The 17961-nt window shown below is 35.5% G+C and overlaps 1 protein-coding gene across 15 annotated transcripts in view; it reads right to left on the reverse strand.

Annotated features, from left to right (window-relative positions):
• Positions 1 to 17961, reverse strand: part of FOLH1 (folate hydrolase 1) — a 63511-nt gene that overhangs the window by 20708 nt on the left and 24842 nt on the right. For all 15 annotated transcript variants that reach the window (XM_047426681.1, XM_047426678.1, XM_017017434.2 and 12 more), the window contains 6 exons: positions 17350 to 17443; positions 10060 to 10158; positions 9093 to 9178; positions 7558 to 7677; positions 5396 to 5478; positions 3396 to 3459 (listed from right to left, as the gene is read on the reverse strand). In XM_047426681.1, coding sequence (XP_047282637.1) covers positions 3396 to 3459; positions 5396 to 5478; positions 7558 to 7677; positions 9093 to 9178; positions 10060 to 10158; positions 17350 to 17443 — 546 coding nt within the window. The remainder of the gene's footprint in view (positions 1 to 3395; positions 3460 to 5395; positions 5479 to 7557; positions 7678 to 9092; positions 9179 to 10059; positions 10159 to 17349; positions 17444 to 17961) is intronic.

The following is a 17961-nucleotide window of genomic DNA, read 5'->3' on the forward strand; positions in this document are numbered from 1 at the left end:
GGAACTTAAAGATTTGATTTTAGATTCTAAAATTTATCTGGAAGAATAAATATGTACAAACAGCCAATGTAATTTTTAAAACAGAAGTGCTTATAAGAGTGGAAATTGGGGAGTGGAGTAGTTTGGCAGCATTTATTACAATTTAATTGCCCACATCTGAAGACCAAATAAATATACTTGTAGCTCTCTACCCTCTCCTCACATTATACCAAAAAAGCATGCAAATAAAATAATATTAACCACAACAAACTGAAGCAAGCTGTCCAGCAGCTAGAAAACTGATACAAAATTTGTCCTATTGAATACATTGTAGATTTTTGTTGTCTGGTGGTAGTGTTTGTTTTTTAAGTGAAACCGAGATATGTGCTGATATGGAAAGTTTTTCATAATGTGTTGCTGAATGAAAAAGGCAAGTTGTAGAAGCATTTAGCTGTAATATGATACCAAATACCTGTATAAGGTGGTGAGAGACAATAGAGTGTAGTGGTTAGAGGGGTAAAGTTGGAACAGACCAGTCTGATTTGAGTCTAAGCTCAACCCTTCACTAGCTGTGTGGCCTTGGGAAAATTACTTAACCTCTCTGAGTGTCAGTTTCTTCTTTTATACAAAAGGGATAATAAAAATATTTACTTACTTATCTCAGAGAGTTATTGTGAGTACTGAATAATTTTTTTACGTGTAAAGCACCTGAGATAGCACCCACTACGCTCTTGGTGCTTTGTGAAGCTAAATTCTATATATTAATGCCAACATGATGGAAACACCCAAAACTGAGGACAGTAATACCTTTGGAGAGAGGACTAAGTTTGAGAGTAGTTTGCATTGGGGAGTTTCGCTTTATTTGTACATTTTACATTTTAACATTAGAAATTTCAGAATCTATGATTATTTGTATTATTTGAGAAAGAAACATTAATACAATGTAAAAATATAAAACAAGTGAGATGAATGGTGTCCCAATCATATAGTACCTCCTGTCCTTTGTTCTCGATTTTGAAAATTATAGAGACACAATGGAGCAATTTCAAGCCAGGGATGACATAAGTAGCAAAGCTTAATGAGTTTTTAAAATACATTAAAATATCAAATCTTAAAAAACTATGGCCAAGTATGGTGCCACACACCTGTTTTCCCAGCTACTTGGGAGGCTGACGGGGGAGGATCAGTTGAGCTCAGGAGTTTGAAACTATCCTGGACAATACTACAAGATCTCATTTCAAAACAACAATAACAACAACAACAACAACAAAAAAAAACAGAAAAAAACTATCAATAAAGAGAACGTTATTCTATGTTTCAAGAAAATATATTTGGAGTATTTATTCTGGGTGGGCATATAATATACATATATATACATGTATATATTTCACCTTATGTGTTTTAAGTAGGTGTAATGATACTAATCAAAGTTAACTTTTTTTGACATTTACTCTGTGCAAGGCACAGGTCTGGGAGATTTGCAAATGTAACTTTTTTTGCCCTTACAGGAGCCTTTGAGATAGGAGCTCTTAGAAGTTATATTTAGAAGTGAGAAAACTGAGGCACAGAAAGTAAGTAGCTTGGGTCACACAAATAGGAAGTTGCAGGGCCAGGAATGAATCCAGGCATCTGACGCCAAAGGTCAAGCTCTTAGCCACTACCCTAAGAGAAGGAGAAAAGAATAACCAAATGCACTGTGTAAACTAACTTTCAGAACAGTGTAGCTCAGAGGCATTGACAAAGAAGAAAAGGAAGGTTGGGAGCTGTGGCTCAGACCCGTAATCCTAGCATTTTGGGAGAACAATGTGGATAGACAGCTTGAGCCCAGGAGTTTGAGACCAACCTGGGTAATATGGTCAAATGTCATCTCCACTAAAAATACAAAAATTAGCTGGATGTCTAGCGTTTGCCTGTAGTCCCAGCTACCAAGGAGGCTGAGGTTGGAGGATCACTTGAGCCTGGGAAATCAAGACTAGTGAGCCATGATCGCTCCACGCACTCCAACCTGGGCTGCGGAGTGAGACCCTGACTCAAAACAAACAAGCAGACAAACAAAAAAACAGAAGAAGAACAGAAACAGAAAAAAAAAACAAACAAACAAAAAACAGAAAAAGAACAGAAACAAAAAAACACACACAAAAAAACCAGAAAAAGAAAATGCCAACGTGACTCCATCAAGGTCTCATGTTCCAAGTGTTGACATGGCAAATTTACTAATACACTAAAGAAAATATTCTAAAAAATTCCCCCTTCATTCATTTAGTCCTTTTTTTTTTTTTTTGCAACCATACCACAAATATTTATTTAATAAGACGTTAGGAATCTAGGAGTGAATAAGCAAGATACTGTCTGTTCCTTGTTAAAGAATACAGTCTATTACTTGTAAAACAAATAATTACTTAATAATGACAGTGATGAGTGCCATGAAGACATGTCTTCCCTGAAAAAGTAACATTTCAAAGGAGGGTCTAAGGATAAGGATTAAACACATAAAGAGGTGTTGAAGAGCAATCTGAGTGTAGAGAACAGGAGAGCAATGGCTGGGATGTTGCATATGGTCAAGATATAGATATATTAGTGGAGCTGGATTGTAGTGAAAATGGACTCTTTCATTTTCATGAAAATCAATCTGAGATTTCCTTTAGTTTGGTCCTTTGCTTATTAAATATATTTCCATTCTTCAAAGTCAGCCTCAAATGCCTATTCCCTTTCTCAAGCCTTTCCTGAAGTTTCTATTATTCTTTCCTCTGAACTCCCAGAGTGGTTTTATCCTACCCTTTCTAAAGTACCTGCATACATTATAATTCAAGATTGATTTAGTATATTATCTATACTGAGTGCGCCACCACGCCCGGCTAATTTTTGCATTTGTAATAGCTATGGGGTTTCACCATGTTGGCCAGGCTGGTTTCGAAATCCTGACCTGAAGTGATCCACCCGCTTCAGCCTCCCAAAGTGCTGCGATTACAGGCGTGAGCCACCGCACCCCACAAATGATACTTTTTTTCTACACCATTCTAAATTATAGAACTCTTTAGGTCCCTGAGTTAATCATTCAACAGATACTTACTAAATTCCTGCTGTATATAAAAAGAAATCTGCCAGATGAAGCTAATCAAAGAATGCTGCTTTTCTGAATTAGTACTCTATACTTCAAAGCAAAAAAAAAGTAAGAAAAGAAAGAAAAGAAAAGAGAAAAGAAAACAAAAGGAAAGGAAAGAAGAAAAGAAACACCTGTTCACCTAGGGCTCACCCAACTCTCAACTAGGGTTCATACACTGCTTCCTGTCAGAGGTTGCAGTAGATTCCCTAACCACACATTAATGCATAGCCTTCCTTGTTAGTGCATAATTTATTAACTAGACTGCTGCTCCTAGTTTAATCACATCTTTTCTTATGAGACCAACGATATTCACCTTCTATAGATGAGTCAGCATTAATATAAGCCACGCCACGCTCTTGAAGGAGTCTTGAATTCTCCTATAATAAAAAGGAAAACTATAAATATAAAGTTATAACCCACTCCCCCTCCCCCACAAAATGCACATCTACATTTAATGTATGTAGATTTCTAATTGAGCTGACCCATATTAACGACAAATTTGACATAAGAAATTCTCATAAAAGAGCTGCTTTGAAAGAATTTCAATAAAGATTACTCGTAGGAAACAACAAGCAAAACTTGTTAAAAGCTAATATTTAAGATGAAATTGTCCATATACTTATGGTAAGTGGAAAATGAGTTAATTTCTTAACCATACTGTAGTTTATCTTTCAAAAAGTTGTCTTAGCAAACATGAATGACCTAAGAGACTTTTCAGTGAAAATCTTCCTATAAACATCTCATTATTTAAGCAGAGAATCTTGTCTGATTCATATGGAATGAAGGTATTTTAAGTGTATGAAATTTTAAGTTAAATTTCATGTTACGAAAAATAAGTGAACTTAAATCATCTCCTGACCAGAAGTCAGGCTCTCCTGTAGGATGGTACCATCTCCTGGTCAATATTGATAATTGCACACTTTTAGAACAAAGCGTAGCAAAGTTTTTTTGAGATATCAATGTGAATTCTGAGTCTCTAAAATACATAATTTCCTAAGCATTCTGACTATAAGATAAAAAATGAAAAAAATACAACTGTAAGTGAAAAAAATAATTTGAAAGACACAAATTACACCGTCAAAATATTAGGTTCTTCCAGATAGTGGCAAAATTCTTTCTTATAAAACTTTGACTAAGTCTACAGGAGCACCATTTTTTTTTTCAAAGAAAATTAAAGTCCACAGGGTTTCACATAATATCTGGAGTATGAAAGGAGCCAGTAAATATTTACAGCATGACTGGAAATTAATGGAATAAACATTGACTTTGCATATATTTACTTTATAGCTAACGTTTCTGTTATATAAAGCCAACAATACATGCAGGTAAAATTACTTTTCAAATGGCTTAGTAAATATTCTGTGGTGGAAATTTCTGCCTTACTTTTAGCATAATTTAACATAGAGCAGGTCATTATGAATTAAGAAAGATAAATGAAAAGTATACCTTACGGCCAGGCATGGTGACGCACGCCTGTATTCCTAGCACTTTGGGAGGCCGAGGCAGGCATATCACTTAAGCTCAGGAGTTTGAGGCCAGCCTGGCCAACACAGCAAAACCCTGTCTCTATTAAACATAAAAAAATTAGCCAGGTGTGGTGGCACATGCCTGTAATCCCAGCTACTCAGGAGCCTAGGGCAGGAGAATTGCTTGAACCCGGGATGCTGACGCTTCAGTGAGCAGAAATCACATCACTGTACTCCAGCCTGGGCAACAGAGCGAGACTCTGTATAGTTAGCTTTAGGAGATATTTTGGAAAGCGTAATAGAATCATGATAGAAATCAAACATGATACAGGAAAATTTGGCTTCATGGTCAGGAAATAGAGACAATTTAACTTCATATTTTTCATAAATTTGAAATAGCTTAATTCCCTTTGAATCAGACAAGATTCTCCATTTAAATGACATGTTTATGGCAAGATATTCACTGAAAAGTCTGTTAAGTCGTTCATGTTTGCTAAGACAATATTTTGAAGAATAAACTACAATATGATTAAGAAACTAACTCCTTGTTTTGATGTTTGGTTTCTAGCATATCTACTTATTTACTCTCATACTCCCAGGAAATAAAGATAAATTAATTTTGACAATTGACATTAAGTGGCTCTAAAAGGTTCAAACAAAACTTAGTTCTTTAGCAACAGAGATTTTTATTGCTGATTTTTGAACAAGAATATGTTACTTCAGATTTTGGGGAAAAAACTTTGAATACTTTCTCATTATATTCACTTCTTATTTTTATGTGCTTGGCAAATAAGTCCTGGCTACTTTATTTTATAAAAATTTATATTATAGCAAATTACCAACTAACCTCTGCCCACTCAGTAGAACCAAGAAGACCAAATTCTTCTGCATCCCAGCTTGCAAACAAAATTGTTCTTCTAGGTCTCCACCCTAAAATGTATGTGTATATATAAATGATAGAAAAAAAATTCATAATATACCCAGGACACTACCAAGCCCAGATTGGAAAAAAAAAAAAAAAAGTCATTGATGGTTTGGGAAGGGCAAATTGTAGTAAAAAATCTTTACTTACGTAACTTTTTTTGTAAGATTTTAAAGTTGTCAATACAAAATAGCACAATTACATAGAAAAGGGGGGACATGTGACAGTAAAAATCTTGCAAGATCATAAAACATTCTAATAGGTTTATAATGATTCGCTATGCATAGGAAGTCATTGGTGGTCTGCAACTGCCTAGAACAAAGAAAGAAATTTCTAGATGCATTTGGTATTCTGAAAGCAGATATAACTGAAAGAAAATCCTTTAGAACTCTTTCCTGTTGTTCTGACATCAAATGAACAATTGTTCAATATCAGCTGGTCCGTATGATTTCACACCATTCTCTGCCAGAATTAATCAACAAGGGCTCAGTTAGCAACAGCAATGTTTGCTGTTGCTGAAAACCACATAATTCAGCAGAGGGGTGATGTGTCTCGGAGGTTATAAACACTGACCTTGGAGTTAAGGCAAGATCTTGTTTCAAACCCTGGTTCTCTCACTAGCAGCGTGACTGAGGGAAAGTTATTCAAACCTACTAAACTTCCATTTCTTCATCTGTATACAAGGAACAAGAGAGTAAAGATGAAGACACCACTTGATTGTGGGAGGATTAAATGGAATAATGTTTAGAAAGCACTGAGTAGGTGCTTTCAAAATTGCGAGTAGTCATCATCTTAGTAAATATTCATGTGTGCTTAAGAATGTGTATACTATAGCTGTTAACTCGAGTCTTTTGTTTTTGTCAATAGTATTATTCAAATTTCCTATTATTATTCATCAGCATTCCATTTCTTTGGCATATTCTGTAATTGTCACAGTGATGTTTTGTATAGTTACCACAGGAATTTCCTAGAAAAATCATGAAACATTTTTGTAATAAAATTAAACACTACCTACTTCATGAATTATGTAAATTTAGGTCTCCATTGTTTGTTTTCTTCAAATATAAGATAGCTGTGTAGAAAAAAGAACTGAGCGCCTTTACATTTTATTTTAAATAGAGACATCATGGTTTTGAGGACTGGTAGTGAGAAATTTGAGTTTCAGCCCTGATTCTCTTATGCTGCCACATGCTAGCTACATAATCCTGGGGAAATTACTTGATTCTCTAAACCTTGGTTAACCTATCTGTAACATGAGAAGATAAGTAAATATGTCTTCTCCCTAGTTGCTATGACTTCAAAGAAGATAGGACATATAAAAAGTTTCTCAAAAAAAAAGTAAATACTATGCAAACAACATACATTATTGTTTTTATGGTTGATAAAAATATATAGATTACATTTTACAGCCCCAGACACCTTGTTTGCAGGGTCAATAAAGAGAATGAACTTCCTGCTCTCAATGTGTAATTATTATTTTAAAAAGCAAACATTTGAACTAAATTTTACTTTGGCTTTCATATGAAGATTCTAAAATGACTAAAGTGGTGATGTTACGAGTGTAAACCTAATTTTTGTGAGAGCACACCAGGGCTCAGGATGTGAGAACACAGATTCCAAACTTTTGACAGAATCCCATTAGACCTAAGACCTGTATTTCTCTGAATAGAGCATCTATCTCCTTAATTACTTTGTACACGTAATCTGAGGTCTGGGGTTAGAAGAGACGGAGGAACGTCTGCTTACAGTCTCTGACTAGGAAGCTTTGGCTTATAATCTAATTTCAGTGTGTTTTCTCTAGTGATGTAACCCATCTTCATCTTCTTAGTTGCCAAGAACAACCATTAACAGTATAATTCCTTTATTTCAGATTATCACTTAATACATAAATATCAATAATATATGTGTTATATAAATAAATGCAAAAATAAATAAACAATATAATTAACCAACCAACACTGAAAATTGTATTAGTATTTTTACCAAACACATGTAATGGTTGAGGTAGTATTTTTATACTCCCTTTACAGAAGACTAAACTGAGACTCAGATAGGCTGTTTTTTTTCTTGCTGTTTGTTTGTATTACCTTCCTTTTTCAGTGTTCCAAAGCTCCTCACAATTTCATGAACAACAGCTGCTCCACTCTGAGGGTCAATACCACCAAACACCCATGAGTCCCGGTGACCTCCCAGAATGACATATCTGTCTAGAAAGCATAGATACAAGATTATTTGTCATTTCAGGTCAATAAAAGAGAAAATTGCAAATGACTCAATAGCATCTAAATACAAAGCACTCACGCCTCAGAAAAAAAAAAAAGGCTAGGTTCCCCAAGATTTGTGAAAATATGTTATTTCTGATTTTAATATGTGTTTCTTCTATCTGAGAAAGCATAAATGTGATAAAGCAAATATATATTTCAATGTATTACTATAATTATAAGTACTACATTAAGTAATTAAGAAAGTTTAAGGTTATCCTTGTTCACATTTTTTGTAACTCTATTACTTCTCTTACCTAACTTACCACTTTCTAATATATTCAAAGTAAGAGAACATAGTGGCCACATAGGAAGTTCTCCAATTCCTATTCTTTCTATTCAGTTTTTAAGGTACAGCTCAAATATTTTCTCCCTCCATTCAGTTTTTAAGGTACAGCTCAAATATTTTCTCCCTCTATGCAGTTTTTAAAGTACAGCTCAAGTATTTTCTATAGAAGAGGGAATTTCTTTGCCTACCCAGCTCTCAGGAGTGATAAAGCATTGATCACCCTTAAGCATATGGCTCCCTTCACAAACTGTCAGTTGTTTGTCTTGGGTCTGTGTCTTCTTTTATCTCCCCATTTCCAATGCTTATCATGGAACTGGCACAAAATAGGTACTCGGTATTATTCAACAGTAGCCACTTATATATTGTTTAGTACTCTTTAGAATATGCAAACAACAAGGATATCAATATTCTTGATCTAAAATAAATCACTGGCTGCTTGTAAGAAACATGCAATTAATATGTTTAATATGCATTTAATAGTATCTGTTTTGGTAAGAAATACAGAACAAAATAGTTCATAAGAAACTGAGCCTTCATGAACTAAGACTATGTATAAAATGTATTAATCAGTAGATCATCTGAACTTCTATGGAAATCATATGTCCATATATTTTATCAGTGGCTTTAGTGGTAGAAAATAAAACTATGAAAGGATTCATTAATACAAGATTATCTTAATTTTCTAAGAGTGTGATATTTTATATAGATGTTTATAGTTATCATGAAGATATTTATGCAAAAATATGGTAAAAAAAAATTCAGAAAACTCGGAAGAAAACACATCTTTCCCTACCCTGCTTCCCTTGATCCTTTAATTGAGGCCTGCACAATTTATCATTCACCTTGGTCATCTGCCCAGCCTAGCACCAAACATTCACTTTTATTCACCACCTGTACCACAATACAAAATTATTTCATACTTATTTCCTTTGTTTTTAGGTGAGTTCCACCGATTTTCTTCGTTTGTTTGTTTGTTTGTTTGTTTTGATTCACTTTGCACTCCCAGAGCTTGGTAGTATCCAGCACATAACAGTTACTTGATCAATATTTGCTAAGCAAACGATTCCTTTACCTGGTTCCACTGCTCCTCTGAGAGTACCTATCACATTGTAAATTCTTGTCACTTCATTGGTAGAGTGGATGTGCATCTTGACTTTTCTAATGCAAAAATAAAAGACATTCTTAAAAAAAAAAACTGGTTAACAGATTAACACTATAAGGTTTAAGGGAATTTTCCCCTCTGCCTTTGAAGGTTCAAGTCTGGTAAAATAAACTGAAAACTGATTAACAGGAGAAAAGGCATACAAACTTACTAACACACCAGTGTATACAGGAGCCAAACAAAATATGAGACTCAAACAAAGGCCAAATGGCTAAAGTTTAACTAGCACCCTCTTCATAGAGGAGGGGGAAGTGGGGGAGTGCAGGTGGTTTTGAGGGGTGGTAAATGGTTTTCAAGAGAGTTAAATGGGCCCAAAGAGCAGGCAATAGTTTATAAATAATTCTCTTTGGAACTTGAATGGAACTAGAGAACAGTCAACAGCTTGTGACAAAGCCTGTGCAGATAAAGTGATATGCCTCAGTCTTCCTTCCCACTACATGAGTTCAATCTTCCCTGGTTAATAAAATTTCAGGGAGGGGAAGGAAAGTCATTGTCTTCCTTCTGCAGGAGCTTCAGATAAGGGAACTTCAGAGAGAAACTTACACTCTGCTCTTGTGGGGTGAAGTAAGAGGTCAGAATTATTGATTCTGAAGCTGCATCTAAGGACTTTTATCCTTTAGTTCAAAGTGCTCAGCATGTCAAAACACCATACTTTGGGTTATTCATTTTCTGAGTTCCAGCAACACTCATAATTTTTAAATCTTCAATCTTGCTTAAAGATTTCTAATTGTTCACAGGCAAAAATTACACTGGTTCTAACTTGCAGTTTTGTTTCCTGCTGGTATTACATAAATTTTACTTTTTCTGTCATCCTCTATAGTATTTTTTTCTTTAAGTCTCCCCCTTAAAAGAGTTAAAATTAAAATAGTCTCTTAACTGTGTAGAAAAGTTTCCAGTAAAGCCAGGTCCAACATTGTAGGGCACTTTGAGACTTCCTCTCCAGCTGCTATCTGGTGGTGCTGAGCCACCCATTTTTCTATTGGACACAAAAAAACATTATTAGCCACAAAAAAACCTTGAAGTAACGCATTAAAATGTTAATGGATTCACTTTATTGAGCATCTGCTCATAATATCTTTAATGAGTGCAAAGTGCTTTGAATATAATACGTCATTTAAACCTTACCATAATTCTGAGGAATTGCTACCTCCACTTCACAGATGGGGCACAGGAGGCTTAGATAACATGCCCAAAGTCATGCAACTAGTAAATGGTATAATTAAGATTCAAATTATTGATAAGAATTTGATCTGCCTTACCAGTATCTAGTAGTAAATCTAAAAGTGCTTTCCAGAGCATGTGCTGAAGAAAGAGCTTGATGTCTAACTCTCTGAAATTTTCCATTCTTATTTGTCTCACTGGTATATAGTTATTTTTTACAAAGTACTTTCATACACACCTACTAAGAAGACAGGAGGATCAAAAGAAAGGATTTCATTTCAGAAGCCCCTAAAAGCTTCACGCTATTTTTTAAAATTCAGAAATAAAGATTCAGGCAGACCACCCAGTATATGCCATGGTCCCTGGTTATCTTTCAGCAGGTGACTGAGAAAGAAAACATGGTAATGTTTATGAAATGGTGGGGTTCTTGTAGTTTCACTTCAACATATCTGCCTTTACTGTATTAAGATGATGGATTAACTTATTCTTGATATGGGCATGTAAAACAATATACTTTTACTAAACAGCTACAGAGAGACAAATGTGTTTCCAGACAAACTTAAGAGACTGAGTGTTCAAACTGAATAATCTCGACCTTAATTGTAACTATATTTTTATGAAAATCCAGCTGTAAGGCAAAAACAGACTTCTTTGGGCCTACCACGGGCATTTTGTTCCTTAACAATACTCCAAACCTTAAACCCAGCTCCACTTAAATAATGGCCTGGAAAAATAAATGTCATTATCTGATATTATACTGAGATGTTTAGTTATGAAATCAAAAGTGGAGAATTTCAATCTGTCCTGTAAGGCTTTCTCTGCGGTCACGCACCCTCATGCACTCCAGGCTGTGCGGTGCAGCATGCTCTGTCATGTCCTGTTTTCTTCTGTGCCTGTACACGGGTGCTTGTTCCCTGTCTACCTGTTTGAGGAAATATGAATAGCTCAACTTAACCTAGAATCTACTGCACATGCAATAAGGAAACAATCAGTAAGATCACTTTCTCGTGGAAAATTCATTAGAATTAACATCTCGTTTTAAAATGCTCTATCAAAGTGTAAATAATTCCTCTCTCTTTTCCCTTTTTCACTAAGGAGTTTGTATATTAAACAGAATTTCAAGTAATGTATTATAAAATTTATTTAAACTATTTACAATAAAATGCCACGTATAAAGCATCAAGCAACATGAAGAGGCATTTTACATTGGTAGAAAGCACAATACATAGCCAAAACAGCAGAGTATTAAATAAACAGAAAATTTGCAAAAGGCAAGTAAAGAATATACATATACTTAATTATACATAAAATATTGATACAGGAGGTAGAAAGAAATTTAGTAAGCAGATAATGGGGGCAACAGAGTCCTCAGCAGAGCTTCCCTTCTAACAAAAAGCAGCCCAATAAATTATTTTTTTTTTCTAACAAAAAGCAGCCTGAAAAATCGAGCTGCAAACATAGATTAGCAAGCTGAAAGTGCGGGAGAATGCTGGCAGCTGTGCCAATAGTAAAGGGCTACCTGGAGCCGGGCGCGGTGGCTCACGCCTGTAATCCCAGCACTTTGGGAGGGCGAGGCAAGCGGATCACCTGAGGTCGGGAGTTTGAGATCAGCCCGACCAACATGGAGAAACCCCGTCTCTACTAAAAAAAAAAAAAAAAAAAGGCAAAAAATGAGCCGGGCATGGTGGCACATGCCTGTAATCCCAGCTATTTGGGAGGCTGAGGCAGGAGAATCACTTGAACCTGGGAGGTAGAGATTGCGGTGAAGCGAGATCACGTCATTGCACTCCAGCCTGGGCAAAAAGAGCAAAACTCAGTCTCAAAAAAAAAAAAACAAAAGAAAAAAAAGGCTACCTGGGGGCCAGGCATGTACACATAGAGGGTCTATCTTCCGTGGTTTTGTTATCACATGCACAGTAACAGAGAAATGAGCACTATGACGCAGCTCAGGCAGAGAACTCACCTGAAGAATAAAAGATTAGGGTGGGGCCACCAGAAATTCACACCCTATGCAAATGACACACCTGGTCTAACCAGTTTGTCCATGACTTATATAAATCAGACACTACCTCTTCACCAGCTCATCTATAAAACCCTCTGCATTTTGCAGTGGACCAGCAACACACTTTTTCCGGGACCTCTCTCTGCAGCAGAGAACTATGCTAATACACTATAAACTAATAACATCAGTTGCTTTGGGGGTGTAAATGGATGAGAGGAAAACTTTACTATAAATCCTTTTGAATTGTGAACTTTGTAAATGTATTTCCTTTTCAGAATAAAAATTAATAGTCCATATTTCCATAAAACAACACAATATAAAACCACGATTGTAGTGTCCCCACAAGGAGGTAGACAAATAACTAGAAGAGAACATAATAATAGTTATATATAAGAATCTAATATACCAATGAAAAAAATAATGCACATACATGGAGAAGTTTCAGTTGAAAAATGTTACTGAAATTTCTCTTTAGGTTCTCTTTAGGTTCTCTTTAGAAATAAATCTCTTTAGGTCATTTTCTCACTTTATAAATAAAAAATAAATTCCACAAATATTTAATAGTTGAATATTAAAATTTCAAACCACAAAAATATTAGAAAGTACCATTAAATGTTGGAAAATGTCTCCGAACATATTTGGTAGATGGTAGATGTCCAGTAATTAATGTATAGACAGTATTGAGTTTATAATTCTGTATCTTGTAGCATATTAATTTTGATTTGACAATTTGGAGAAGACTTGTTGTCTACTATGTTTAAGGCACTGTGTTTTATTCACTAAAAAATATAAATATATACAAGACTCAGTCTTTCCACCAAAGAGTTTATAAATCACTCAGAAGAAAATACATATAAAACCAATCATAATATAAAACAGAACATCACAGAGCAAAGGTAAAATTCTAAAAAATTTGGACAAAAGAAAGCTTGAATCAGCTTGTGAGATCAGGAATTACTTTCTAAAGAAGGTTTCACTTGATCTGGATTTTAAAGATGAATAAGGGCCGGGCATGGAAAAATGAGGGCGAAGAGCCTTCCAGGCACAGAGGCAGGCAAGCATAGAGCAAGTGTAAGGCATGATGACTATTCTGGCTGGGATATAAAATGACTAAGATTCCTTGAGAAAGAAATTGAAAAATAGTGTAACTCAAGTGCACATGGAGCATTTTTCATAATAAATCACGTCTGTAAAACGAGCCTGGATAAATTTAAAAGGTTGAAATTATACAATCATTTTATTACTCATATACTTCTTTTACTAATCCAACCACAATAAAAGGAATTTAGCAATCAATAACAAAAGTAAATTTAGGAAATTCACAAATATATGGAAATTAAACAACTAACTCCTAAATAACCAATGGGTCAAAGAAGAACTTGCAAATACAATTTAAAAATGCTTTGAGATGAATGAAAATGAAGACACAACATACCAATATTTATGAGATGCAGCAAAAACAGTGCTTAAAGGAAAATACATAGCTGTAAACACCTATATAGAAAGAATCTCAAATCATTAAGCTAAGCTTTCACCTTAAGAAACTGGACAAAGAAAACTAAACTAAACTCTAAAGCATAAGAAAGGAAATTACAAAGATTGAAAGAGAAATAATAAAATAAATAGAGAAAATCAATGAAACCAAGGGTGATTCTTTAAAAAGATCAACAAAATCAGCAAACCATTAGTTAAACTGACCAAGTTTAAAAAGTAATTACTAAAATCAAGAATACAAGATAGGACATTACTACTGACTTTACCTAATTCCTACTTCTACCACAGTGCCTGAAATATAAAAGTCATTCTATAAATGTTTCTTGAGTGAGTGGGCTGTGAGACGCCATTAAAGGTCTCCCGAGCAGAGGCATAAGAATGAGCCAATACTATAATCAACAGAGGTGGCTACTAAATGCTTGCGTCATTGAGTAGAGAGTAAGTAGTGTTTACCAAAGTGTCTTTTGCATCAGACATCAATTTGGGCCCCGGCTCTCTCACTTACTCTCTGAACATTGGTTACAATGAGTATCACAATACTAACTCATATTGTTGTTTTATAGGTTAATTGAGGAGATGTGTGTAAAGCATTTAGCACAACAGTAAGTGCTAAAGCGTAATTAGCCCTCCATGCAGGATACATGCTATTACTGTTGCCGTTGGCACTATAATTATCGTCCTGGAAGTTACTGTAGAAGGCAAATTAAAACCACATAATCACACTGTGTTCAGGGTACATGTAAAGAAAAATAGGAAACAGTATATATGGTGTCCCCTTTCTGTCCCACTCAAGTCAACATTGAAGTTTTTAACATCACTCACATTTCATCAACTTTTTATTTAAGTTCTCAGCATTCTTCGGCCATTATATGACTTTATATCTCTCCTCATTTACTCACACATTTATTAATAAACTTTTATTTCATGATATATTCCATTTGTAAAACACTGTCTTTTCTAATTAGTGCACAATGCTAAACTGCTAACCACTTGAGAGAACCTCAGAATTGAGTATCTTGGCACACTCCCAAGGTACGTGTGCCAAGAGAGTAAATTTTCACAGTGAAATTCATAAACAAACCATATGTTCTTTTAAACAATTTTTTAAAACTAAATTCCACTTATATGGACTGTTTCATTATGGCTTAGAAAGTATAGGTGGATAAATAGTGTCTATTTTTAATTATGAAATTTTGAATGTAAAATGCACTTTTTCATGAAAGTTATGTTATTAACGGTGATTGTATTTGTAAAATGGCTTACAGAGGCTGACACAGTAATGTCAGATGAATTGTGTTTGTTATTTTTCAATCAATCAGATAATTCCATTACACAATCAGAGCACAGCTGATATTGACCTAGTAAACCAGACCAAATCGTAGACGTCTAAATAAATCTCACATCTAATTCCATAATATTATGCATCCCTCTTTTGTAATTACAAAGATAATACAGGTTCATGTTTTAAATTTTTTTTTTTTTTTTTTGAGACGGAGTCTCACTCTGTCGCCCAGGCTAGAATGCAGTGGCGCGATCTCGGCTCACTGCAACCTCTGCCTCCCGGGTTCAAGTGATTCTCCTGCCTCAGCCTCCTGAGTAGCTGGGACTACAGGCATGCACCAGCATGCCCAGCTAATTTTTGTATTTTTAGTACGGACGGGGTTTCACTGACCATGTTGGCGAGGATGGTCCCCATCTCTTGACCTCATGATCTGCTCGCCTCGGCCTCCCAAAGTGCTGGGATTACAAGTGTGAGCCACCGCGCCCAGCCCCATGTTTTAATTTTTTATAAAACTGAGATAATACTATATATATATAGTTTTGAAATTTGCTTTTCTTCACTTAATAATATAAGCATTTTTCTATATTATTAATTATTCTGGTACTACATATAATATCTTTTAATCACTTCATTTACTATCAGAGTAATTAATGTATTATTCGAGTACATATAAATTGTTGAAGATTTGTGTTGTCTACAGTTTTCCACTATTACAAGTAATGCTAAAATCACTTTTATCTTTTAAATGTCATGAATACTTAGTCTTTATTTATACATATTTTTAGGCAAATGCATAGTCTATGGTGCTATCAAAAGTTGTGCCTGGTCCTGAATCTTAACCAATGCAGTAAATCTTATAGCCCCAAGGAAGAAAGACCAGGGTACTTTCTTAATCTGCCCTTAAATTGAACAGATGTGTCCTACTCCCCAGACGTCAGCCTCCTCACCTCTAAAAATGAGTGCCTTGCCCTTGGTCAAAAAGTGCTTCCTCATAGATACTGGAATAAAATTAGTAAGAAAGGCTTGAACTTAAAGAAGAAAAGGGACTACCTGGCCAGACGCTTTGGTCTCTATCAATTTCACTTTTAGAAAAGCCAGTGTTCTCTCACCTCTAAAGAATAATGGTGGCTGGGCGCAGTGCCTCATGCCTGTAATCTCAGCACTTTGGGAGGCCAAGGAGGGCGGATCACCTGCGGTCAGGAGTTCGAGACCAGCCTGATCAGCATGGTGAAACCCCATCTCTACTAAAAATACAAAAATCAGCCGGGCATAGTGGTGGGCACCTGTAATCCCAGCTACTCAGGAGGCTGAGGCAGGAGAATCACTTGAACCCAGGAGGCGGGGGTTGCAGTGAGCCAAGATTGCACCATTGCACTCCAGCCTGGGCAACAGAGTGAGACACTGTCTCAAAAAAAAAAAAAAAAAAAAAAAGGACATGGCAATGGGAGAAAGCAGCACAGGGAAGAGGAAACAGTTCCAATGCCAGGTTAAGCAGAACAAATCTGGGAAAGTTTCAATAATGAAAGCAGAAAGTTTCAATAATGAAAGCAGAAGGGGAAGAAGAATAGAGATAAAAACAAAATGGAAGTTGCTCTCATAGTGTGTTATTCTGGGTCCTCCCAGACGTAGCCAGTAAGAGGAATACATGAGTAAGAGATTTACTAGGGAAAAGCATGTGTGGAAAATGAGGAGAGAGCTAGGAAACCCTGAGAAAGTCCTTAGACTGCAAGGTAGGTCTAATATTGAATAAAGGAAAAAGGGAGGAGGAAAAGAAAGAGGAGTGTTGGGTGCAGCATCTATTTAAGCGAGGCTATCAAGGAGTCCCTGGGCCAAAGTTTTGCATCAGAGGAGTCCAGTGCCTTCCAGAAACAGGCCTGCAGTAGTATCCTTGCCACACTGAGTCATTGCCCGAGAACACCTACAGGAAGCATGGTCTTGACAAAAATATAGTGGGGTTTCAAAGCACAATGTCTGGAGCAATTGATCAATTAGGTTCCCTGAAGTTAAACATCTGAAAGGTTCATTTTCATGGCTGTCATACACTAGATACTCATGTATATACTAAATTCCAGAACAGAACCACTCTTCTATTTTATACTGATAAAATTACAAGCAACACCCATGTTGGAAAATTTAAGTACTAAAAAATGGAGATAAAAGCCTAACATTTGAAAACTGTCAATAAGAAAATTACCCAAATAGCCATCCATGGTTTCTTACAAACTTACTCTAGGAGCTTCTGTGCATCATAGTATCCAATTGGATGAACAGGAATACTTGGAAGACCAACAGCCTCTGCAATTCCACGCCTATAAGCATATTCTGAAAAAAAAAATTGCCATATTTCCAGTAAAAACTCAGTTTCATTCAAACGGTTCTCTATAAATCACATTAAATACATTCTAATTTCACATTTGCTAGAATTGTTAAAGTAAAACAGATTAACAATTCAAATGTTAGCGAGAATGCAGAGCAACTGAAATCCTCATACATTGCTTGTGATAATCTAGGCTAAAATTATACAATCACTTAAGGTAACTCTTTTGAAAAGCAATGTCAAGCAGAAATGTGCACTATGGCACAGCAATTCCACTCCTGGGTACTCTAGAAAGATGAGCACATGCCCACAAGAAGACGTGTACAAAATTGTTCATAACAGCCACATTTATATTAGCCAAATATTAGACAAAGTCTAGGTTTCTAACAACAGAAGAATGAATAAACAATCCGTAGTATAATCCCACAATGGAATGCTACTCAATCATCAAAAGAAAAAAACTAATACATACAATATGATAGAAAATCTCAAATTACTACACTGAAATAAGCAAGGCTTTAAA

The sequence above is a fragment of the Homo sapiens genome, chromosome 11 (assembly GCF_000001405.40).
Source record: "Homo sapiens chromosome 11, GRCh38.p14 Primary Assembly".
NCBI lineage: Eukaryota > Metazoa > Chordata > Mammalia > Primates > Hominidae > Homo > Homo sapiens.